This window comes from Homo sapiens, chromosome 4 (assembly GCF_000001405.40).
Source record: "Homo sapiens chromosome 4, GRCh38.p14 Primary Assembly".
Lineage (NCBI taxonomy): Eukaryota > Metazoa > Chordata > Mammalia > Primates > Hominidae > Homo > Homo sapiens.
In genome coordinates, this window is record NC_000004.12 from 105,439,885 (window position 1) to 105,466,809 (window position 26,925).

General features: G+C 37.5%; 1 protein-coding gene across 4 annotated transcripts in view; it reads right to left on the bottom strand.

Annotated features, from left to right (window-relative positions):
- PPA2 (inorganic pyrophosphatase 2) overlaps window positions 1-26,925 on the bottom strand; it is a 104,994-nt gene that overhangs the window by 70,808 nt on the left and 7,261 nt on the right. For 2 of the 4 annotated variants that reach the window (NM_006903.4, NM_176869.3), the window contains exons 2-5: window positions 16,797-16,861; window positions 13,714-13,758; window positions 9,466-9,519; window positions 6,499-6,618 (exon numbers count right to left, since the gene is read on the bottom strand). The exons of 1 other annotated variant lie outside the window; for it this stretch is intronic. In NM_006903.4, coding sequence (NP_008834.3) covers window positions 6,499-6,618; window positions 9,466-9,519; window positions 13,714-13,758; window positions 16,797-16,861 — 284 coding nt within the window. The remainder of the gene's footprint in view (window positions 1-6,498; window positions 6,619-9,465; window positions 9,520-13,713; window positions 13,759-16,796; window positions 16,862-26,925) is intronic. One more of the 4 variants, NM_176866.2, reaches the window with a different exon arrangement.

Below are 26,925 nucleotides of genomic sequence, written 5' to 3' on the forward strand. Positions count from 1 at the left end.
GTGCGTGTTGTCACTGTTCAATTCCTACCTATGAGTGAGAACATGTGGTGTTTGGTTTTTTGTCCTTGAGATAGTTTGCTGAGAATGATAATCTTAACGTGCTGGGGAAACCAGGATGGGACACCCAGGTATAATCAGAATCAAACAACCTACTGCAGAATCAGAAAATATCTGAGAGGTTCCTCCTTGCTAATGCAGAAATCCCATCTCATAATTTTGCTTATCCCTACTCCCACTCCCAAGAGAACAAATGCGACAAGCTAGAAGTCCCATTGGCCTAAAGGAAAACATCTAGATTCTACCACAAACTATCTTGATTAAACTATCCAGATCTGTTTCTTCAGCTATTAAGAAAGGCTTAAATAGGAAGATCTTTTTTTCTTTCTTTTTTTTTTCAGACAGAGTCTCCCTCTGTCTACCAGGCTGGAGTGCAGTGGCACGATCTTGGCTCACTGCAAGCTCCGCCTCCTGGGTTCAAGCGATTCTCCCGCCTCAGCCTCCCAAGTGGCTGGAACTACAGGCGCCCACCACCACCCTAGCTAATGTTTTTGTATTTTTAGTATAGACGGGTTTTCACCATGTTAGCCAGGATGGTCTCAATCTCCTGACCTCGTGATCCACCTGCCTCGGCCTCCGACAGTGCTGGGATTACAAGCGTGAGCCACTGCGCCGGCCAATAAGAGGATCTTTAGACACATTCTAGCCCTAAAATGCTGAGATTGTTAGTGCTCATTTACAATCTGCATGAATGCTACCAGTGAACATGAAGCCCACATACTTATGACCTACTTATGACAATTTTGATGAGCATTAATTTTTTTTAAGTCATTCCTCACACAGAGACAAAGACTGTCTTGACATTAACTTAGTTGTGGTGACTATTTCTGTTGGTTGGTTGGTCCTCAGAACTCCAATTTCAACATTACCTAGCAATATGGTTCCATATGTTGAGAAATTAAGTACCCAAGTAGAAAATTCTTAAACTCTACAATATTGTTATGTTTAGGGCCAATTCTTCATGATTTTCCTTACCAGCAAAAATACCAGACTGGTTCTCTTTATTTCCAACCTTTAATACTCTGCATCTACAGGCCTTAGTTTTTACTACAAAAAGACACACTAACTCACCTCTAATTTAACTTGAAAATACAGTATAACTTCAACAGGAAAGGAAATCTTGACAAATTTAAGCTTTGGTTATGCCCTCTTGTGGAGTCTTATGTGTGTAACTATTAACAGACAAATAACTAGAAAAGAACAAACACTGGAGAAGAAATATCAAGAAGCAGAAGTTCAAAATCTTAATATTGGTTTCACAAAAATGACAAAAGATTAGCTTCCAGACTTTAGAAATAGTTTTGGCAACTAAATAAGAAAAAGGGCAACCCAACTAAAATGGGTTGAAGATATGAACAGGTAATTAAAAGAAGGGGAAACATGAATGACTTATAAATTAAGAAAAGATACCTAGTCTGATCAGAAAAATACTAGTTAAAATCACAATAAGATACTATTTCAAAAACCTAAAAATCTTATAATCTAAAATATTAGTAAGGATATACGGTACTGGAACCCTATATACTGCTGGCAGGAGTATAAATTGTCACAACTTCTTTTATAACAATCTGGAAATACTTAGTAAAGTAAAATAGTTATACAACTCATAATTTGACTAACAGGTATATAAGTATATATACTATCTATAGAATAGTTATACAACTCAAAATTTGACTAACAGGTATATAAGTATATTTACTATCTATACAGAAAACTTTAGCATGGACCCAAGAAAGCTACAAACAACCTATCAACAGGAAAACAGTATTATAGAAAAGATGATTATAAAGCTATAAAAATGAATAAATCAGAATACACATATTATTGTTATACCCTAAAACAAATCCTTCTCATTTTCATGCAGGTGTTTGTGATTATTACCTTACAATCTATAAGTAATGGCCAATACATTTCTAATCACCACACTCTGGTCCTTAGGTCTCTTAAAAAATCCCTGAATCATACAAAGCCATATATACAGGTGGTTCTTAAGAATATCTTCCTGATTAACCAGCATTCCTATCACAAGTCGAAGGAAGACCTTTGACTTTCCCACTACCATCACTTTTTTTTTTTTTTTTAAGAGAGGGTTTCACTCTGCCACCCAGGCTGAAGAACAGTGGTGTGACCATAGCTCACTGCAACCTTAAACTCCTGGCCTCAACTGATCCTCTTGTCTTGGGCTCCCAAAGAACTGGAATTACAGGGATGAGCCATCACCTATGCTTTCCCAGCTTTAATTTGGAGCAAAAGCCTCTACCAGTGTTTTTACTACTAGTAGCTAACATCAGTAGCAATCATCATCATTGAGTTAATATTATTAAGAACTCACTATGGGGCCAAACACCTCTGATCAACTCATTCAATACTCACAATAACCTTGTAGGGTAGGTAGTATGATCATACAGATAAACAAACAGGCCTAGAGAGATTTAGTCACTTGTCTCAGGTTATAAAGCTAATAAGTAGGACTATATATTTGATTGGGGAGGTCAATGAACCAAATTTATAATTAAGCACAAAATAAACATATCAATACTACATTAAGACTGAAGAAATTTTGAATTTAAACTGAATCTAGTCTTTTAATATTTTCCAGACAGGTATTCTAAATATTCACTCAATGAGATGTAACACTGAAATAACCCATTACATGTGGGCAATATGAATAAACTGGTGGGAAGACGAGATGAATTTTTGCCCAGGGAAGCTCAAACTTTGAGGAAGGCATTATTAGGAGTGCGGGAGATGCTATTCAGGCTAACGGTCTAGACAGCTGAAGGTCTGAATAATGATGGTATACTGATGAATCACAAGCTAAGTGGATAGACTACTACTTAAACAGTATTCTGCTGCTTAAATGTTCTTCTAAGTACACAGTTGGCTCAGTAACTGCTCTGAACAAGTTTCTTGCTGTTACAAGACGAATCATAGAACAGCTAAAGTATCCACACACGCCTATGAAACAAATGTGACACACATACACAATGCATTAATTTATTCATTTCACAGTTATTGATCACCTACTCCATGGCAGGCATTAAGCTGGGTAGTCAGAATGTATCAGTGAACAAAAGAGACAGAATACCTGCCCTCATGAAGTCTGCATTCTAGCTGGGAGAAATTAACAATAAACATAATAAATAAATTATACAGCAGGTTACAATTTGGCAGGTGTTATAGAAAAGGGAAATAAAGTATGAGAGGGGGAATGGGAGTAGGGTTAAAAGTTTTAAAGGATGATTGGCAGATACTATGAAGAAGATGAGTTAAAGGCAACCTAAGGAAGCCATGTGCATACCTGGAAAGGAGTGTTCCCAGGAAAGGACACAGTGAAGGTGAGGGCTTGAGACATCAGTGTGCTTTGAGCACCAGAGTGCCAGTGTGGAAGTGAAGAAGCAGAAGGCAGAAGGAGAGTTGGAGATGAGATTAAAAAGATAAATGGGACCAGGGGCTGGCTTTCATTTTAACAGGGTCATGTCTGAACATCAACCATCAAGCAGAAAAAAAAAAAAAAAAAAAATCAGGTAGAGCTATTCCATAAGCTATCCCATAAGCAATTGGCATGATTTCAGCATTCTTAAAAACATCATTCAATTTAGTTATTTTCTTTGATAAATAACTAACTTATATGCAATTTATGGTGTATTCACACACACACACACACACACACACACACACACACACACACACACAGACTCTCTCTCTCTTTTTCTCTCTCTCTCTCCAAGATCAGTCAGGTTTAAAAAAGTAGTACAGATCTCTAATTGAAAATGGCAGACAGAATGCAGGTCTATTTCCTCTTTCACTTCCATTCTAGCCACACTGGCTTCCTTTTTGATACTCACACATGCTAGGCCTATTTCCACCTCAGGACCTTTATACTTGCTGTTTCTTGTTGGACTGCTCTTCCTCTAGATGTCCACACTACTTGTTCCCTCACTTCCTTTAGATCTTTACTCAAATAACACCTTTTCACTGAGATCGTCTCCCTGTCTAAATTGCAACAATCCTAATATCCCCTAGTCCCATTCCCTGCTTAACTTTTCTTTGACATACTTACCACCACCTGACATTTTACTTGGGGTTTATTTTGTTTATTGTCTGTTTATCTGACTAAAATAAAAGCTCCAGAGAAATATCTGTCACTTTTTATCACTGCTTTACCTGCAGTACTTACAAGAACACCTTGCAAATATACAGGCCTTTAATAAATATGTACTGAATGAATGAACAGTTTGGTGAAGGCCTGGTGAGGACACAATGAGGTAAGTTAGAAACACTGAAGAAGACTTTGTGGTGGATAGACGTGAGAAAGGGGGAATGCTGCAAAATGAGGATAGAGAAGTAAGCGGAGGCCAGATCACACAGGGTTGAGTAGCAATGTTAAGAATTTTGTATTTTATCTTTTAAGCAACAGGAGACCATTAAGGTGTTCTTGTACAAGAAAAGCATCTGCAAATTTGTGTTTTAAAAATATCAATTTGGATATTGGATGGAGTATGAAACTTAGGTAGGCAATGGTGAATGCAGGGTGAATAATGAATTAAGGGACTACCACAGTCTAATTCTGTTTTATTAGTAGAAGAACTACCGTACCTGCCAGATTAATACCACTGCAGAACATCTGGAAATCCAGACACATCCAGAGGAGCACAGAAGTTTGGCAGGACTTTAAATGGAAAACTACAGAAGCTTCTTTTGTTTTTACCTCCGTTCCTCCCCTTCTCTCTTTCCTGTCAATAGGTTTGCTTTTTTATTTTTTTCATAATTTTAAATTAGTAGATGAATTAGTAGTGCCTATTATACCACATCATAACCAGCAGTTTAGTTCTTGATTGCCCCAATCAGACTAAAAACAACTTTAGGGAAAGAACCATACGATAATAAAAGTACCAGTCTTAATTATAACAATAATTGATTACTACATGTTACACACTATTCAAATGCAGTAACTCATTTAATCTCAACACAAAGATAAGAAGTAGATATTTTATGTTCTCCATTTTACAGATGAAGAAAATGAGGAAAAGTATCTTTCCCAAGGCCCAAGGTCACATTACTAGAAAGTGACAATCTCACTCCCAAACCCACATTTTCCAGTCACTTATTATGAGGCCTTGATGTCACATCTATATCCCATCTGTCTTTATATACCCAACACCTAATATCCTGCCTAGCACATAAATCCTTAATAAATGTTTAAAGAAATAAATACATGCACCTTAGTTTATTCTCTAGCTCCTCTACTTACGTCTCTGTTTTTGTCTGTCTCTAATTCATTGGCTTCTTCAGCATTACCCTCATCCACACATTTCCTACAGGCTGCATCCCCTAAGCTTTACAGAACTTTTTCAACCTTTTGCTGTTGGGTCAAACAGCATACCTATTTAAGTACCTGGAGAGTTAGAAAACCTGCTTTCATGGTTTCCACAGGCATTCTCATTCTTAGCATATCACTTTAGAAGTGCCCATTTTAACCAAGAATGTATCCATGTGGGTGATCTAACTGAATCAGAGACAGCCTGACTCTTTAGAAAACAATTTTTTTTTAAATTTTCCTGTGAATGTTTATTCTACACGGGCAGCTGCTTTTTCATGTTGGATAAAACAAGACCTCTCTTCTCAGATATTTCCCCAATACCATCTTGAAATTTCATGCAAAATATTAAAATAAATAAAAATATAAAAATTAAATTTCCAGACAGATGGTCTATGGTTTTTATAAACATAAAGGCAGATGGTTCTCTGTGTCCCCAAAACCTAGAATTTTGATTCAGCATATTCTGAGTTTTACTCACTAAATAATCTGGAAGAGTTACCTCTTCCTGGGAATGAGGAAACATGAGAGAAAACCAAAAGAGGTAAAGAAAGGAAGAAAAGCAAATAGTTGTTATTCTCCAACAGGAATGCTACCTTATCATTATTTAGCTCTTGTTTTCTCTGCTTTCTACTTAAAAATTATTAACTCATAACAGTAAATAAGTTGTGCAATTCAATTTACAATGAGTTCCAGGAAAAAGTTAATAATTTAACACATTCATCTGTTAAAGTTTAAAATATAAAATTTGTGCTATCATATATGAATGTGTATAAAAGCATAACTTGTCATGTTCAAAGGAATGACTGTAGATAAAGCCTCGCTTAAAAGTTTTTCACTGACACTTAATAGGCAAGACCAGAAAAAAAAAAATGTATTCAAAATGTCAAATGTGAACATTCCATATGCCTGACTCCAAGAACTTGAGTATAGACATATATATGGTTTAAAACAAAATTTATTGATATACTAAAACTCCATCCACGTTAATAAATTCCAAATTTACAAACCTCTCCAAATGACATGTCCTCAGAACCAATTTAAATTCAGTAGTTCACAGGATTTATAAGGCAATTTTTTCAGAAGACAGGAACATTTTACCATTGTAACAAAAATGTTACCTGAGGGAGGGTACCATAATTCCATATATAACCCTTGTAAGGGAAGATATTCGCCACATAGCGTAGCTTTCCATCCTTTACATATTGTTTAATGGGATTCATTGGCTCCTTGGTGGCAATCTAAGCAAATCACAGAAGGAAGAAAAGGAGATGGGATAAGAAATAATTAATTCTATGTCCAAATAGTACTTTTAAAAATCTGCTATTTTCAGACTAAACATTCATATTTCAACTTAATGATCAAAGATGCTTTAAAAGAAATTAAGCCAGCTCTTATTACTAATTTATAGCACTATATGAGAAAAATTGTTTGGAAAGGAAACACCAGATCATATATTTAGTCACTCTATTATTTATGTACTCCATTATTTCTAACACAAATAATAAAATGATTGAGATGGCAAGAGGATAAAGATTAATCAACTTGCCTTTTGTTACTAATCTCAGGCTTTATTATCATCAATATTATGATAATAAAACTAACTCAAAGATTCCTACCATATATTCAATAGTGAAATGCTGAAAGCCTTTCCTCTAAGATTTGGAAAAAGAAAAGGATGCCCACTTTTGCCACTTTTATTCAACATAGTATTGGACATCCTAGCCAGAGCAATTAGGCAAGAGAAAACAGTAAAAGGCATCCAAAGTAGGAAAGAAAGAAGTGAAACTGTCACTGTTTGCTGATGATATGATCTTATATATAGACAACTCTAGAGACTCCATCAAAAAACATTGGAAATAATATATAATCAACCTAAGTGTCCATCAACAGATTAATGGATAAAGAAAATGTGGTATATATACATAATAAAATAGCACTTGGCCTTAAAAAAAGCAGAACATTCTGTCATTTGTGGCAACATGGATGAAACTGGAGAACATTATGGCAAGTGAAATAAGCCAGGCACAGAAAGACAAATATCTCATGTTCTCACCTATATGTGGAATCTAAAAAATTGAACTCATAAAAGCAGAGAGTGGAATTATAGTTACAGAGGCTAAGGGTAGGGGGAATAGGGAAATGATAGTCAAAGGATACAAAATCTCAGACATGAAGAATAAGATGTTTTATTGTTGAGACAACACAACTTGATGAGTATAGTTAATAACGTACATTTCAAAATTGCTAAGAGTAAATTTCAAATGTTCTCACCACAAAAAATGGTAAGTATTTGATGTGACAGATATATTATTTAGCTTAAGTTATTCCATACTGTATTCATAAGTCATAATGTCACTTTGTACCCTATAAATATATACGATTATAACTTGTCAATATACAATAAAGTTAAAAAATCACCAAAAAAGAGATTCTCACCAACTGATTTTATTTCAAAGTTAGTTTTCTTTTTTCTTTTTTTTTTTTTTTGAGACAGAGTTTCATTCTGTCACCCAGGCTGGAGTGCAGTGGTGTGATCTCAGCTCACTGCAACCTCTGCCTCCTGGAAGCAAGCAAATCTCATGCCTCAGTCTCCTAAATAGCTGGGATTACAGACATGCACCACCATGCAAAAATTTGTGCCCAGCTAATTTTTGTATATTTAGTAGAGATGGGGTTTTGCCATGTTGGCCAGGCTGGTCTCAAACTCCTGGCCTCAAGTGATCTGCCCGCCTTGGTTTCTCAATGGGCTGGGATTACAGGTGTTAGCCACTGCACTCGGCCTCAAAGTTAGTTTTCTATCATGTATATTCACATTGCTATCTTTAAAACCTATGTATATAGGAAACAAAAAAATAAGCCATGTTGAATGAAGAAACACTGCTTAAGTTAGGTAGATTCTCATAGATCCTTGCATCCTCCACCTAACTGAGGTAGACTAGCAAGAATGATGAAACATTATACATGAAACAACACCAAAAGAATAATCTAATATCTTTACCTTTTCCTACTAAAGTGTTAACAAAAAATACTGCCAGGACCTGGTGATAGTACTGACAATTCTCTTCCAAATATAAATTCTGAAAAATATACACCTACATAATAATGCCTAATTTAAATACTTAAAATAATATTTGCTATCACACCCAAAGTTATAGAAGGTTTATATAACTAAACAAAGTAACGTAAATTAAATTTCACTTAGAACTATAAGGAAGCTTATATATAAGCTTCTATAGCTAACTGAAGAAAGAACAAGAAAATTCTGAATAGCAAAAAGGAAGTTCTTATAGGTTCATTTCCCGGAAAAATTTAAAAAAAAAAAAAAAGCTAACCAGAAAAATAGCAGATGCTCTGTGATAGTCATAAATTGAGTTAACCAGGAAATGATTTATTTCCTGGTAGAATAAAATCTAAAGGAGAATTGAGTCCTAATAAATTAAAATTGCCATCAGCCCCAAATAAAAGTTTCAGTTCCATCTATGAACCAAATATATCTCAGAATCTACTTAAACAACCTTTAAAAGTATTTGCCATTTTCAAAGGAGAAAAAAAGAAAATTAATATGTATATAACAAACTGACAGGCAAAATTGAAAAAAAAACTCTCTATAAAACTATAACGTATATACTTAGCTTTGAGTATTTTTCTGAACTATCTCAAATTTAAAATATTGGCCGGGCGCGGTGGCTCACGCCTGTAATCCCAGCACTTTGGGAGGCCGAGGCGGGCGGATCACGAGGTCAGGAGATCGAGACCATCCCGGCTAAAACGGTGAAACCCCGTCTCTACTAAAACTACAAAAAATAGCCGGGCGTAGTGGCGGGCGCCTGTAGTCCTAGCTACTTGGGAGGCTGAGGCAGGAGAATGGCGTGAACCCGGGAGGCGGAGCTTGCAGTGAGCCGAGATCCCGCCACTGCACTCCAGCCTGGGCGACAGAGCGAGACTCCGTCTCAAAAAAAAAAAAAAAAAAAAAAAAAAAAAAAAAAAAAAAAAAAAAAATTTAAAATATTATGCCAAACAACTTGCAACAAAGTTTTATATCATTATAATCATTTCGGTTTCATATTAATAAAGTATATCGGTACCTCCATTTTAGCATTTGTCCACCGAGGTATTTCTACAATCATATTAAACAGATTCTGCAGTTAAAAACAAAACAAAGAGAGAACATTAAAAATTTTACCTTTTATTTTTTCCGTTACCTCCCTTATAAGAATACCTTAGATGTTTTCCCCCGACAAAAAAAATGTTGAGTCTCCATCATACATCTACCTATGCCTTAAATTTTTTCTAGAAATTAGAGTTGTCTAAAACACAGCCAAATTTAGGCCACCATGTCACTTGAGCACTTACACACAGTGTCAGAGGTTACGAGTCTGAGAATATCTTTGATGAGTAGTGACAAAACTAGAATGGAGTCAAGAAATGTGTTTCAATTTTTATTTTCCAACTAAAATAGAAGTGAGAGAACCAGTCCCTCATGTAAGGATTCAGTCTCACTTTTCCAATCTGTAAAGTAAGTGTGATCATCTCTGTCCCACTCACCACATGAGGTTGTTACAAAGATCAATGACAATATACAGAAAATTATGAAGTAAAATATATTTTAAAATGATAAAATAATAATTAAATCCAAGTTACAATCACAGTGTAAAATTCAGGATGTAAGTACAGCTATTACAGAGTTCACAAAGAGCTACACTAAATATTCCAGACTTAGCTTGCATATCTGGTGAGTTCAGACTCCCTAAAGTTACAAACTCACTATGGCTTCACTTTTTTTTTTTAATTTCTGAACTTTGTAGAATGCATAAACCAAAGGAGACCCTAGGTCAATGATGAGTAAAAATAATTCCCTACAGTTTGCCTTACAAAGAGAAAGTCTTAAGGTTAAAGTTGATTTGCACACATTTTGACATCAATAACTAACAATTTATCAAGGAAACAACGATGGTTTAAAACACTGTACTCCAAGTGTAGCCAAAGACCAGGGCCAGTCTGCAAACCGATTGTTACTGGCTCATTTACAAACATTTGTAGCAATTTAAAAGAGCAATTTTTATATCTGTTAAATCTAATAATAAAAAATTGGAATCTGAATTACACTTTCCTTTTTTTTTTTTTTCTCCCAAGACGGAGTCTTACTCTGTCACCCAGGCTGGAGTGCAGCAGCATGATCTCGGCTCACTGCAACCTCCACCTCCTGGGTTCAAGCAATTCTCCTGCCTCAGCCTCCCGAGCAGCTGGGATTACAGGTGCCCGCCAGCACGCCTGCTAATTTTTGTATTCTTAGTAGAGACAGGGTTTCACTATGCTGGCCAGGCTGGTCTGGAATTCTTTTTTTTTTTTTTTTTTTTTTTTGAGACGGAGTCTCGCTTTGTCGCCCAGGCTGGAGCGCAGTGGCGCAATCTCGGCTCACTGCAAGATCCGCCTCCCGGGTTCACGCCATTCTCCTGCCTCGGCCTCCCGAGTAGCTGGGACTACAGGCACCCGCCACCACTTCCGGCTAATTTTTTGTATTTTTAGTAGAGACAGGGTTTCACTGTGTTAGCCAGGATGGTCTCGATCTCCTGACCTCGTGATCCGCCCACCTCGGCCTCCCAAAGTGCTGGGATTACAGGCGTGAGCCACCGCGCCCTGCCAACACTTTTCTAACGATTCATGTTGATTGCATTTTTTTTAAGTATCTGTTTACAACCAATTAGAAATAAACCAGCCAAAAAACTAGTCTTTCATCCCAAATCATTTGAGAAGTGATTTAACATACTTATTTTCGATCATGCCACACATCAATACCACCTCACCAGCTTCAACCAATTAAAAAAAAGAAAGTTTCCCAGAGCCCCGTCTCTCATCTATCTGAATTAAATTGCTCTGGGTGGAGCCAGGGCACTGCTTATTTTTATAGGCTCTCCAAGCAATTTTAATATGCAGCCAAAGCTGGACTAAAGCATTGCTGAAGAGTATCACAGAGGTTTTCTAGTGTAACATGGAATGCTGTTATTTCAAAGAATGCTATTTACACAATTAAATGTAGATAGATATTGAGCCATAAAAGTAATGATGATTTATATTAAGTTTTTCTACATAAGACTAAAGGTTACAAATGGCAAAGCTGCAAGCCCATAATGAGATAAACAACAAAGCTGAGAATAAATTCTCAATAGCTGCTCCTTAGAAGTATGTCTCATACCTATCTTAGCAACCTTACATACAGTCCTGCTGTTATGTTTCATTTTCTATGCTCTTTCATGAGGTACCCCTGCACCTGTTTAAATATGTCTGAAGTAGCTGTTAAAAAGAAAAACCAAAGTAAATGGCAGATGTCCACATAATTTATTCATCCCTGAAAGCCTGGCTATACGGGAACAAATGCTTGCAGATGAATACTCAGAGGTGACCAAGAAGACCAAGCTGGTGACAATCGTTTTACACAATAACACCTACCAAAACCACTCACAGATACTTGAATTAGGCCAAATGAACAATAAATGAGGTTTGAATTTTAAGCCTGCAAACCACATTCTCCCTCTTCATTTGCTCGTAATCACTAAGAGCTTATTTCCAACCTGCCTTTCTTCTCTCCAGCTAAGATGCATTTGTCCTGTAATTAATTTTTTAAAGCCAATGTTAGCCTGGTTTTCCTAAGATTAATGTTAATTATAAACCAACAATGGTCTGCCAAATTTTATCTGAAAATAAAAAAGATAAAAGGAGCACAAGTCAAACCAGAAAGTTGTGTATGTGGCAAGGACTGTGAACTACTCCTTCAGTCCTTTTCTTTCTCTCCATTTTTTTCCTTGTATTTTTGTTGCAGAAGTCAAAATAGAAAAACTAATAAGATGTATGAAAAAGCAGTCAGTACATTTTATATACATGGGGAAAAGACAGGAAGAAATCACTCTTCTTTCCTCTCTAATCCTGAAAATTTCAAATAAACTCAAATCAGACAGTCTCTAACATAAAAACTGTGTTCTAAGAATTAAATTTTAATTTGAATGTCTGGGCTCAGAATATGTTTTTCCCACTAATGTATTTCATTAACCTGAAATAACTGTTTCAGGTTAATACACTAAGTCCCCTGGGGATCTGGAAACCCTTGTTCACTCAACATCTAGGGCAGTGGTTCTCAAACTTCACGTTTAGGATGCACCTAGAATACTTGTGAAATACCTAGATTAACCAGGCCCTATCCAGCGGAGAATCTGACTTAGTAAATAGGAGATGGGGCACGGAATCTGAATTTTTAACAAGCACTCTAAGTGGTTCCAGTGTAGATGGTTCAAGAATCACACCAGCTTAGAAAAATAGAAGACAGATAGCAGGCAAAGGTTGTAGGAATTTAAAGGCCCCCACAGGTATGTTTGGAAGTAGATTCAAATGCTGGAGCTGTAAGTTTCAGTTGGGGTAGAGAATAAATGGAAATGAAGCTGGAAAGGTAAAAGGAGACAGGAAAGCAGCAGGAAAAGCTGCCTGGCATCAGAATCAGAGGGATAAAAGGACACTTGTAGCAGGAGATGGAATGACAGACATCAATCAAATGTTCTGGTCCTAAGTCAAGAACTATTAAAGGTTTGACAGCCACATATATTTGTTTAGATATATTTAGAATATATATATTTAGAATATATTCATTTTAGCATACATTTAGAATATATATATTTAGAATATATTCATTTTAGCATACGGTTGGTATAAGTGTTTTTCTTCTCCTCTACTCCCAAAAGATTATTGTTCCTGGGTTCTAAAACAGCCTCTCAAACCATCTTCTCTCTTATAATTTAAAGTGAAATATTTCATTTATAATGAAGTACATTTACTTTAGACCATCTACCAAGATAATTAACTTATTATTAAAATCTGGGTTCCTGTGCTAATTCTCTCAGGTTTTCCCATTGTAAAATGAAGTGGAAATGAAATACCTGCAACAGTCAAATTCATAAGACAGAAAGTAGAATAGTGCTTCCCAGGGCCTCGGGGGAGGGAGGAAATGAGAAGTTGCTCAACGTGTAGAGTTTCAGCTTGGGATGGTGAAAAAGTTCTGGAGATGGATGGTGATGAGGATTCCACAACAATGTGAAAGAACTTAATGCCACTAAATTGTACTTTAAAAAAGTTAAAATGGTAAACCTTATGTTATGAATATTTTACCACAATAAAAAAAGTTAAATGGCAATAGCTGCCCTAGCTGCCTTAAAGAAAAACATCGGAATGCACATGAAAGTCTTGCAGGGGTAAAAACCTTAGAATCATTTTACAAATGCAAACTATCATCAAGGTATTTAACAGACAATATAAAAGTGATTCACAAAAATAAAAACCTTTGGATATACCTCATATTCATCATTTCGTGCTTTCTTCATAGGAATGCCATTTTCCTATAAAAGAAAAGATGGTGAAAGACTGCAATATTTCATGAAAGTATACAGTGGCACTGCATAGCAATAAAAATATGACTATTGTATAGACATTCTACACAAAGACTGTCCAGAAATCTGAGTCAACAGAGAACCTACCAAATGCCCACTTCGTTCTCCCCTGAGCATTTGTATCCCCAGAATAGAGCATCAAAGTGTTTCATAAAATAAATGATCAGAAAAGCCAAACCTCTTTCACGTATATTTTCCCAGTTTTTATAAAGTAAGCAAAGGCTCTGTTCAGTCTTTAAGAAAAGACTGGTAGTTTCCAGTGATTATGCTTAAAACAGTCATTTCATTATTGAAATGAAGCTCCAGGGAGCATGACTAACAAGCTGTGAAAGTACTCAGCTGCACCTCCTGCCTGTGAATTCTACCAAGGTGTGATTACTAGGCCTCCACCAAGCACTTTTTTTCTTTTTTCTTTTCCCATTAAACCAAGCACTTTTAAATTAAAACTGACTTCGTGGTGGGTTGGGAAGAAAAATTATGCCATTCACAAATGCTCAACCAGCATATGTAACGTTTATACACCAAAATGACTACTAATGAAGAAAACAAAACAAACAAAATCATTTTTCCAAATCAGCTCTGAAACATTATTTTTGTTTTTGCTGCTGCTGTTGTTGTTGTTGTTGTTGTTGTTGTTGTTGTTGTTGTTTTTGAGACAGAGTCTCGCTCTGTCGCCCAGGCTGGTGGAGTGCAGTGGCGCAATCTTGGCTCACTGCAAGCTCTGCCTCCTGGGTTCACGCCATTCTCCTGCCTCAGCCTCCCGAGTAGCTGGGACTACAGGCGCCCGCTACCAGGCCTGGCTAATTTTTTTTTGTATTTTTAGTAGAGACAGGGTTTCAACCGTGTTAGCCAGGATGGTCTTGATCTCCTGACCTCATGATCCGCCTGCCTTGGCCTCCCAAAGTGCTGGGATTACAGGCAAGAGCCACCGCACCCAGCCATTATTTTTATTCTTAATATACCACATCCCAAAGTACAAAGCACGAGTTTTAATCATTACTGGCTGAGATCTAGGGAAACCTATTTACACAACCACCATGCGTATCCATTTCCATATCTCCAGAATTCACTGGCATATCCTGTTGTATTTGCTGGCCCTATCATCAATTTTGCCTAATCTCTAATTTCACATTTCCCAAAACCCATCCTCCTTAGACAAAATGTTATTCTCACTGACATGTTTCTAGCTTACTCTTTTCCACCTCTACCTCTATCTACTACACGACTCTCAAAAATACAGCTTTATTATTATTGTTGTTATGATGAGGTATACAGATTTTGCTATAGCATACCCCTGACAACACTACCCACCAGTCACATTTTATCTTTCCTTTCCCTGTTGTATTTTTATAGCACTTAACATTATCTGACTGACTTGTTTTATGGTTGACTCCTCCAATTGAGTGGACTATACCTATCTTATTCACTACTACACCCACAGTGCCTAGAACAGTGCCTGGCTCATAATAAGCATTCAATGACTATTGATTGAATGAATAAATTAATGAATAAGTGAATGCATGCACTTTTAGCCAAAAGCAAAGAAAAGTGTTGGGAGACATGAGATATTTAGGTTTGAAAGTTCAGTGGCCAAAACAAAACACAGGAACACATATACACACGCACTTTCACACACTCGCATGGACACACACAGTAACATAGAGTTCCTTTTGCCTCTGGTTTCCTTCTATTGTCCTGGAGCTGCACACTTAAAAGTAATGAGCTGGAGGCATTACACAAGAGAAGTGAGGAGTACAAACTCTGGAGTTAGAGCACCTAAATCCAATCCCACCTCCAAAACACACGAGATTTGTGATGATGGACAAGGTACTTAGCCTCGTTAACAAAATAAGGGTACTAAATGTAAAGCCAGAAGGATTGAGATAAACCATATCAAGCAGGGAACACAGTGCTGGCTAAGTACCACAAGCACTTGATAAATTATTGATATTATTCTACTGCCAGTTCCTTATTCTGAAGAGCTGGGAAGCAGCACAAATCCTACTTCACATCCCATAACCTCACTATGATGCATAATATTCAGCCTCTGAGGTAACACCAGGGTCAAACAACCCTTGCATCTGAAGTAGCCTCCTCAGTTCTTCAGTGGCCTCTGCCCCTATATTGATCACCCCACATCCTAGAAAACCCAACCCCAAATTAACGAGTTACATATAATTTCAACATGGAATGTGGTCCTGGTTATTTACTTAATAGTTGTACCCCCTTAAAAATTTGGTAATTCACTACTTGGATTTTAAGGAAATAACCTACAACTTAATGATGATCATGAATACTACCAAATATGCCATATTACCAACTAATCATGAGAGATCTCGAAACACCCCAACAATTTTGATTTGATAGCATCAGTTCTCCTGGCATCTTTCACACCCTGACAACTGTCAAGTGATTTTCAGTTCTAAGAGAACAGCTATTCAAACACCACCATTTTTACCCCTGCTTTATTTCTCTAACACCTGTTTCATAGAGTGGTTAAAGAGCATAAGCTTTGTGGTCAGAAGCTAATTCCAAAACTAGCTCTGGCACTTACCAGATCTTAGACAAGTCTATAAAAATGCCTTGAGCCTCAGTGTCCTTGGAAAGAAAAATAGCAACTCATAACAATTAAATAACATCATGTTCACATAGTGGCTAGCAAATAAAAAATAATCCACAAACGTTAGCTGATTATTGTAAATAAACCTCTTGGTAATTTCCTAAATTACTACCCTTAAATCTTTATTTCCTACCGAATTCTAAGTTTTATGTACCAGTAACACCCCTTTCTCCCAATTCCTCATGGAAGAATCCTATTCTCATACAACTTTTAATTCATATAGGAGGCTTATGACCCTGTTATAGTAACTCCTGTTTGTCCTCCTGACTTCCAACAACACTTTTTCCTTTCAAGGTGCTTCCAAAAAGCATCTAATGGTGATACTGGCAGTACACGTTTTCATTCCCAAAACAAGTCAAAACAATACCTCTTTAGAGTTCACCTTCAGAGGAATATCATGAAAGGGGGAAATGTAGTGACCAGTTACATTCTCTGCAAAGACACAAACAAACAAAACAAAACAGAATTAAAGCAATAGACACATTGTTCTATACAGCAATAATAAACATCCTTATCCACTTTTAAACTTACGCATTTTTTACAAAGCTAACTTTAACTCCCAACTTAAAGTTAATTCAACTTTTAAAACTTGCCACCATCTAAGGACCGAAAAGAAATATATACCGGCTAAACCATATTTGGGTTGCTGAAATAATTTACTTATCCCTGTGGCTTAAAATATCCAAAGCAGAAAATATCTACAATAGACTAAAACCCAAAATACATATTAAAAAAAAAAACATCACTTTTGAAAAAGAAACTCATTACTAAGTGAATTCTATTAAAACTGATGTCAATTTCCCTTGGGGAAACTTAACAATAGTATTCCCAATTTCTACCTACTATCCATGGGAAGAAAAGTCCAAAGTTCCTATTCAATTAAAAGAAAAGAAATATTGTTTCCATTCAATGTGGTAAGGATGCTAATACTAAGGTAAGCTTAGAACAAAAACAAACTTCAATAACAGAAACTATCTTACCTTAAAAGTTGTATACCAAAATGTGTATTTTAAATACTTTCAATATTTAAATAAACACAATGCCTTGTAAATAAATACAATGCACTTTTACTGGAATACATCTGTTTCCAAAAGCTAAGCTTAATAGAGCCCTACAAAATTTTCACTTTGTAATTTCCTAAATCAGGCTGTTTTACTTCTGACCTGCTACCTGTTTGGCATAATTTTCAAATTTAGATTTCAAGAATATTTAACAAAATAAAACAAAGACTGGCTAAATCCCAATAGCAATGAGCACACCAGCAACCACATCTTGGTTTCTTTCTTCTTTTTTTTTGAGACAGGGTCTGGAATGCAGTGGCATGATCATGGCTCACTGCAGCCTCAATCTCCTGGTCTCAAGCCTCAAGCCTCCAGAGTAGCTGGGACTACAGGCATGCACCACCACACCCAGCTAAGTTTAAAGTTTTTTGTACAGACAGGGTCTTGCTATGTTGCCCAGGCTTGTCTCGAACTCCTGAGCTCAAACAATCCACCTACTTTGGGCCTCCCGAAGTATAGGGATTACAGGTGTGAGCCACTGCACCTGGCCCAGATTTTGGTTTCAAAATGCCATTCTCCAATAAAAGGAACTAGGCCTCCTTGGAGAAAGGCTTGATTCTAATGCTGGAGCAAAGAATACCCAAGATGAGCCTGGAGCATCTTGTAGGGTCAGAAGGCAACCAAGTGCTCAAACATCAGAAGACTGGAGGTATGGTAAAGGGAAATGTGAACCAATCTGAAAGAGTCCCCAAAGGCCAAAGCTGGAACAATTTGAGCAACAAAATATAAAACAAATATACATGAATCCACACTAATACAAACAAATGATAAAATAAATGAGAGAGAAGAAACAAATCCAAGATTGAGAAACCGTAACAGATTGTTAGACAGTAAGGAAATATGATGACTAAATGCAGTCTGGTATGCTGAACTAGATCCTGGAACAGAAAAATGACATTAGTGGAAAAACTAGTGAAATCCAAATAAAATCTGGAGTTTAGTTAAGGGCATGTGCCAATGTTAGTTTCTTAGTTTTGAAAAATGTACAATGGCAATGGTAAATGATGTTAAGATGATAAAATTAGGGAAAAACTGGGGTGCGGAGTATGCTGGAATCCTGTACTAACTTTGCAGCTTAACCCAATCTAAAATTATTCCAAAATGAAGTTTATTAAACAACAACAACAACAAATAAGCCCTGGATTCTGCCCAACAAAAACAGAGGCATGGCCGGGCACGATGGCTCACGCTAATTCCAGCATTTTGGGAGGCTGAGGCGGGAGGATCACCTGAGGTCAGGAGTTTGAGACCAACCTGACCAACATGGCAAAACCCCGTCTGTACTAAAAATACAAAAATTAGCTGGGCGTGGTGGTGCATGCCTGTAATCTCAGCTACTCAGGAAGCTGAGGCAGGAGAATAGCTTCAACCCAGGAGGCGGAGGTTGCGGTGAGCCGAAATCGCACCACTGCACTCCAGCCTGGCGACACAAGACTCCACCTCCAAAAAAAAAAAAAAAAAAAAAAAAAAAGGCATGTAACTTAACAATGAAATTGTTAATTCCCACCAATATTTTATTTCCCCCTACCATGCTTTGTGCTTTACCTTAGCACTTATCACTAGAATTAAGTTCTGGAGTTTTTGTAGTTGTTCATTTTTGTTTGTTCTGTTATGCTTTCTACTGGATCTCTAGCATCTGGGAAAGTACCTAGCACTTAATAGGCATCCAATATATACTTGCTGAGCAAATATCTGTTAGATAAATGTCTCTATTACTATTTTATTTTTCCCTTTAAACTGTTAACATAATTTTTATTTCCCCACCCTAGCAACAAGGTAATTCCTGAAGGATGTGTGCACAACGTAAGGATAAAAATGAGAAAGAGCACACAAATGGCAAGTACATAAAACTTTGGCTATGGTCTATAAAGCTCTTTTCATCAGTAAAGGGATGCACTTAAAAAAAACTTCTCTTTCATATATTACATCAGATTTCAAATTCTCTGCCCGATTTTCAAAGTTATCTATGAGTAACACAAGAACACAAAAAACAAAATTACCAATTTTTTACATGATTATTTACTTTTCTAAATGTAATAGATACTAAAGTGGGCCACATTTACATGTTTTCAATTAAAATAAAATATGGTGATGGGAACTGAAAATGGTGCACTTGCTCTGGAAAACAGTTTGGCTGTTTCTTGTAAAGTTAAACATACAATTAGCATGTGACCCAGAAATCCCACTAAGTATTTAACTGAGAAATAAAAACATGTTCACCCAAAAATCTCTATATGTTTACAGCAGCTTTATTCGGAATCACCAAAAACTGTAAACAATGCAAATGTACAACTGGTAAATGGAGAAAAACTATGTTATACTCATATAGTGGTCTTTTAATCAATGTTTATTAATTATTCCACAATAAAAAGGAATGCACTATTGATACACACAATAAAATGGATGCATCTAAATACACTGTATCAAGCGAAAGAAGCTCAACTCAGTTCCATTTACATAACATACTGGAAAAGGCAAAACTATAGGATAAAGTGCAGTCACTGGTTGGTTGCCAGGGGCTGATGGTAAGAGAGTAGGGTTGACCCTAAAGGGGGCCACAAAAAATTTTTTGGGGAGGGACAGACCTGTTCTGTACTTTGTGATGCTGTTTACACAAATCTACTTTCTGTCAAAACTCAGAAGTGTCCACAAAAAAAGTAAATTTTACTGTAGGTAATTTTAAAAATAAGTAAATATGGAGCTGAAAGACAACTAGGAGGAGGTTAAGAAGACATACACAGTAAGCCCTCTGCATCTGCAGATTCAAACAATCGCAGATCGAAAATATTCTGCAAATCTTTAAAAAATAAAAATGCAACAATAAACATAATACAAATAAAACAATACAGTATAACAACTATTTACATGGCATTACAAGGCATCAGATATTGTAAGTAATTCAAAGAGGATTAAAAGTAGACAAGAGGGTTCCTTTCTCTTGGTTTCTTTCCACCCTCCCCCACCCATAAGGGAAAAAAAAATAGGAGGAGTGCATAGGTCATATGTAAATACTACGCCATTTTACATCAGGGACTGGAACATCTGCAAATTTTGGTATCCAAGGGGTTCTGGAACCAATCCCCTGCAAATACAGAGGGACAACTGTAATGTATAAATGGAAGCTCTTATTCCAAGAACAATCATCAATCTGTGATTGTCCTCTCTTCAAGTCACTAAAGTAAAAAAGGTAGAATTCTGAAAAGAAAAAAAATACAATCCTTTAACAGATTACTTCAACGTTCATTTGGGACCTATCATTGTGATAGAAATGAACAATAATTTCAGCTCTAAGAATCCAGGAAGTTACACAAACAAGGGAAGTTTGTTATCATGGGGGTAAAAGAAACTTGACAGAAAAGCCAGGCTGCCTTTGTAATTAAGAGTAAATAAATCTAGGACACTGATTTGGTGTTAAATTTCCCCAAAGATCCAATGCTCTTGTTAACTGTGGACAAGCCCAATACTTATTAAGATGTAAGATCACATATATATATAGTTTTCTAATTGTCATTTGGAAGGTAAAAAGATTACAAATGAGTGAATGGTCTGTATTTACTAACTTACATAACCATACCTACTAGAAGCTATTTCATGAAATAGTATTAATAAATAAAAATGTAATAGTGAAGAAAAAGAGTAAAAATATAACTACTTCTAGAAAACAAATATGGCCTTAGATCTCAGATAATAATAATGCTTTAATGGGCAATATATCTATAAATTTGCACAGGAGCAATGACTAGAAAGGCCAAAAACCTGACTTCTAGTTACTCAGCTTCATAAAAATGGCAACTGAATGATGAGGCTCATAAATTTGGAAAGCAGAGCTTTATTTCTCATAAAGGGCTGCAACCTGCAAGCATGCTCAGTTGAGCTTCATGCTTCTCCACGGGACCCATGTTCAAAAAACGGTGGTGTTAGCATGATCTGAGGGTGGAGTTTTCAGCTCTCTGATGTCGAAAGGTGAAGTGGAAAACATGAAAACCCTCACTGCACATTCTCCATAGATTCGCCAGAACCACTCTTATCAGGAGGGAACGCTGGTCAGTTGTTTTGTGGAAACCACAAAAGGGAGGGGCAGCAGTCAGACTTTCGGTTGGTATCAGCATCTGTGGAGTCTTTCGAAAGGGCTGGTTTCTATTTAGCCCTTAGGGAAGAAAACTTAATGGCAGTTAGTGAGGGAAAGGGTATAAGCAGGCATAGTTGACCTCCCCATTCCAGTCGTGGCCAAGAACTCAGTTTTCAAGGTTTCTCTAGGGTTCCCTTGGCCAAAAGGAGACCCATTCAGTCAACTGAGGGGCTCAGAATTTTAGTTTATTTCTCAACAGTCACTCAATTTCTCTGAAGCTTAATTTTCTCAATAGTTTCTTGCATTAAGCAATATGTATTTACAGAGTGTTTCACATGAAAAGGAATTGTACTAGATTTTGGAATAGACAAGTGCTACACAGTGATCCACGCCCATAGCTAAGACAAGACACGTTACATCACTGTCATCATCATCATCACCTAGTAAGTTTAAACACAAAGGCATCCTCTCAGCACTGTTAGAAAACTGAACATTTCCCTAAAGTGCAAAAGGATAAGAACTCATTAAAAGTTTTCCAGGGCCAATCATGTTGATATGCTATTATGTTCCATTTAAAGGGTATTAAAATTCTCTAAAGGTGGATTTAAAGATATGTAGTATCTATCCTGATCCTCTATAAAATGAATGAGATAATCTATATGGTACATATGCGCTACAGACAGAGGGATATGGTATATGGAACAAGCGCTGTGGCAACACATGCCGTTATTTTTAAAGACAGTAGAACTTATCTAGCACTAGGTTAAAAAAAAAAAAGTGGTAGAACTGAAGCACACATCAGACAGCCCTTCCTCAGAACCACAGAATATATTAGTGATACATCTTAGGTTAGAACTTTCTTATCCGAAGCTCAGGCTGCTTGTTTCTTAACAGTTGAAAACAAGCTATTGCCAATTTGCTTTTTAAAACATCTATTTTGCTGTTGTTAAGCCAAAGCAATGCAGGTCCATGACTGAAAAAATAATAGTTTCTACCTCTCCCCAGTCTAGTTCCACTCCTGAGAGCAACCCATTTTCAACTCTTTGTATTAGGCCTAGTGGTTACCTTCATCTTTCTAAATAGCATATTTAGTAGTTTTTGTTTATCAATTGTAGAAATTACCTACTGATTCCAATTCTGAGAGATAGTTTAGTTCAATCTATTCTACATAAGTTCTTAATTGGCTAATGTTAATACACCTTTTTATTCCACCAAATATATTGATATGGTTTGGCTGTGTCCCCACCCAAATCTCATCTTGAATTCCCACGTGTTGTGGGTGGGACTCAGTGGGAGGTAACTGAATCATAGGGGTAAGTCTTTCCTGTGCTGTTCTCATGATAGTAAGTCTCACAAGATCTGATGATTACAGAAGGGGTAGTGTTCCTGCACAAGCTCTCGTCTGCCACCATATGAGACGTGCCTTTCACCTTCTGCCATGATAGTGAGGCCTCCCTACCCATGTAAAACTGTAAATCCAATAAACCTGTTTCATTTGTAAATTCCACAGTCTTGGGTATGCCTTTATCAGCAGCATGAAAATAAACTAATACAGTAAATTGGTACCAGTAGAGTGCGGTGCTGCTGAAAAGATAACTGAAAAAGTGGAAGCAACTTTGGAACTGGATAACAGGCAGAGTTTGGAACAGTCTGGAGGGCTCTGAAGAAGACAGGAAAACGTGGGAAAGTCTGGAACTCCCGAGAGACTTGTTAAGTGGCTTTGACCCAAATGTTGATAATGATATGGACAATGAAATCCAGGCTGATGTGGTCTCAGATGGAGATGAGGAAATTGTTGGGAACTGGAGCAAAGGTGATTCTTGACAGTTTTAGCAAAGAGACTGGCAGCATTATGCCCCTGCCCTAGAGATCTGTGGAACTTTGAACTTGAGAGAGATGATTTAGGGTATCTAGTGGAGGAAGAAATTTCTAAGAAGCAAAGCATTCAATAGGTGACTTGGGTGCTGTTAAAAGCATTCAGAGCATAAAAGTTTGGAAAATTTGTGGCCTGACAATGTGAGAGAAAAGAAAATCCCATTTTTTGAGAAGAAATTCAAGCCAGCTGCAGAAATTTGCATAAGTAACAAGAAGCCAAATGTTCGTCCCCAAGACAGTGATGAAAATGTCTCTAGCGCATGTCAGAGGCCTTCACGGCAGCCCTTCCCATCACAGGCCCTGAGGCCTAGTAGGAAAAGGTGGTTTCGCTGGGCTCAGGGTCCCTCTGCTGTGTGCAGCCTAGGGAGTTGGTGCCTTGCGTCCCAGGTGGTCCAGCCATGGCTAAAAGGGGCCAAGGTACAGCTTGGGTTTTTGCTTCAGCGGGTGGAAGCCCCAAGACTTGGCAGCTTCCAAGTGGTGTTGAGCCTGCGGGTGCACAGAAGTCAAGAATTGAGGTTTGGGACCTCTGCCTAGATTTCAGGTGTATGAAAACACCTGGATGCCCAGGCAAAAGTTTGCTGCAGTGGCAGGGCCCTCATGGAGAACCTCTGCTAGAGCACTGTGGAAGGGAAATATGAGGTCGGGGCCCCCATACAGAGTCCCTATTGGGGCACTGCCTAGTGGAGCTGTGAGAAGAGGGCCACTGTCCTCCAGACCCCAAAATGGTAGATCCACCAATAGCTTCCACCATGCACCCAGAAAAGCCACAGACATTCAATCCAGCCCATGAAAGCAGCAAGGAGGGGGACTATACCCTGCAAAGCCACAGGGGCAGAGCTGCCCAAGACCACAGGAACCCACCTCTTGCATCGGCGTGACCTGGGTGTGAGACACATGGAATCAAAGGAGATCATTTGGAGCTTTAATATTTGACTGCTCTGCTGGATTCTGGACTTGTATGGGGCCTGTAGCCCCTTTGTTTTGGCCAATTTCTCCCATTTGGAATGTTTTATTTACCCAATACCTGTGCCCCCATTGTATCTAAGAAGTAACTAACTTGCTTTTGATTTTACAGGCTCATAGGTAGAAGGGACTTGCCTTGTCTCAGATGAGACTGTGGACTGCGGACTTCTGAGTTAATGTTGAAATGAGTTAAGACTTTGGGGGACTGTTGGGAAGGCATGTTGGTTTTGAAATGTGAGGACATGAGATTTGAGAGGGGCCAGGGGCAGAATGATATGGTTTGGCTGTGTCCCCACCCAAATCTCATCTTGAATTCCCACATGTTGTGGGAGGAATCCTGGTGGGAGATAATTGAATCATGGGGGCAAGTCTTGTTCTTGTGACAGTGAGTAAATCTCATGAGATCTGATGATTATATACGGGGGAGTTTCCCTGCACTAGCTCTCTTGTCTGCCACCATATGATACATGCCCTTCACCTTCGGCCATGATTGTGAGGCCTCCCCAGCCATGTGGAACTGTAAGTCCAATAAACCTCTTTCTTTTGTAAATCACCCAGTCTCAGGTATGTCTTTATCAGCTGCATGAAAACAAACTAATACAAATATACAGTATTTCTTAACATCAATAACCTGACTTTTACCTCCCTTTCCTCATTCTTCTAATTTTTGTCTTCTGCATATTTATTTTTTCATATCAAGGCTGATAGAATGTTCTGTAATCATACTGAATTTTCTATGCATTTCCTATTATATATATCAAAAATTTCTCTTAGATAAGAAAAACCTGGAATGCTCATTAAAATGCAGATCCCTGAACCACCATCCCACATCTAGTGAATCAAAATCTCAAGGAGGGAGAAATGAATATCTGTATTTTTAGCAAACATCCCAAATAATTCTTACACTCAGGTGTGTGAGAAGCGTTGTCTATGTGTTTATTTTTGGTGAGGATGCTGCTATAATTAAATTTCCTTTTTTGGTTCAGCTTCTATTTTTCTTCGTGTTTCTAATTATCTTTCTTACATTGTCATAATCACGTCTATAAGTTATTCCAATGCCTCACGGATATCATCAAAATTATGGAATCCTCTCTTTACCCAAACAGCTCCTTCAGGAACCCTCTATCCTCAGGCTGCAATATGAACTGGATGCTTTCCGGGCATCCTAAGACTGCTTCTTTGCTCTCCAGTGTAGATCTATCATTTTCTGGATCCCATGCATTCACGTTTTTTTGGTTTACTTGTCTTGCAGAAGCATATCCCTAATAAGTGTTCTGTAAGAAGGATTGCATGTGAGGCCAATTTCTCAAGTTGTTAAATGTCTAAAATGTCTTTACTCTGTTCTCACTCCAGATTGACAGCTGGCTGGGTAGAAAATTCTAGGAGGAAAACTCTTTTCTCTCAGAATTTCAAAGGCATTACTCCAGTCTTCGAGCATTCAGTGTTGCAGGCCTGTTAGCTGACCACCCCCCAGCAAGACATGTGGGATCCTCTCAATAGCTGTATAATAATGTGACTGGGGGGGTCAGAAAACTTGGGTCCTTCAATTCTTAGATTTTTTTCTATTATCCCTTTTACAATTTCTTCTCCATTTTGTCTGTTCTTTCCTTCTGAAACCCATATGAGTCAAATGTTGGACTTTCTGGATTCAATCTCTACGTCACTTCTTCTTGCCTCCTTTTTCTATCTCTGACATTTTGTTCTACTTTCTGATAGATTTACCTTATCTTCTAATTCATCTATATTCTTTTTCTTAGGACTGCTGCAAGAAACTACCACAAACTTCGTGTCTCAGAACACCATTCAACCCACTACACCTTCTACTGACTTACTTGTTTTAACAAGTTATTTGCTAAAGAGGTCTTGGTCTTGATTGCCATTTCTTCACAGCCAACTCTTCCTTTTTTTTATAGCAGATGTAATAGAGAACACCCACTTGACCTTCTAAAATTCAAGTTTCTTGTTTTTCCCATTTAATTTTTAAGTTTTCCTTAAATTCATTCAGTAAATATTTCTTGAATATATGCACTGTACTAAGCATGGTTCTAGATACTAGATACAAATTCCAATTCCCTGTTCCTATGGAAATCACATTCTAGTTGGGGTGCAGAAGCAATGATTATGTGTTTATTCTATCACATATCATAAGCACTATAAAGATAAAGGAAAACAAATTAGGGAAAGTGAAGAATGAATAATGGAAGCGTTACCAATGGCAAATCCCTATGGCTCTGCAACAATCTCAATTCTTGCCTCCTCAGAAGAAAGAATTCAACTGAGGGGCAGAAGGCAGAAGGAGAGGCTGAGGCAATTTTACAGATGGAATCAGTTTATTATAATAAAAGGCTTTAGAGCAGGAACAAAGGGAAGGAAGGTACACTTGGAAGAGGGCAAAGTGGGCAACTTGAAAAGACAAATGCACGGTTTGACCTTTCAACTTGGGGTTTTATATGTTAGCATACTTCCAGGATCTTGTGTCCCATCTCCCCTGATTCTTCCCTTGGGGCAGGCTGTCTGCACACACAGTA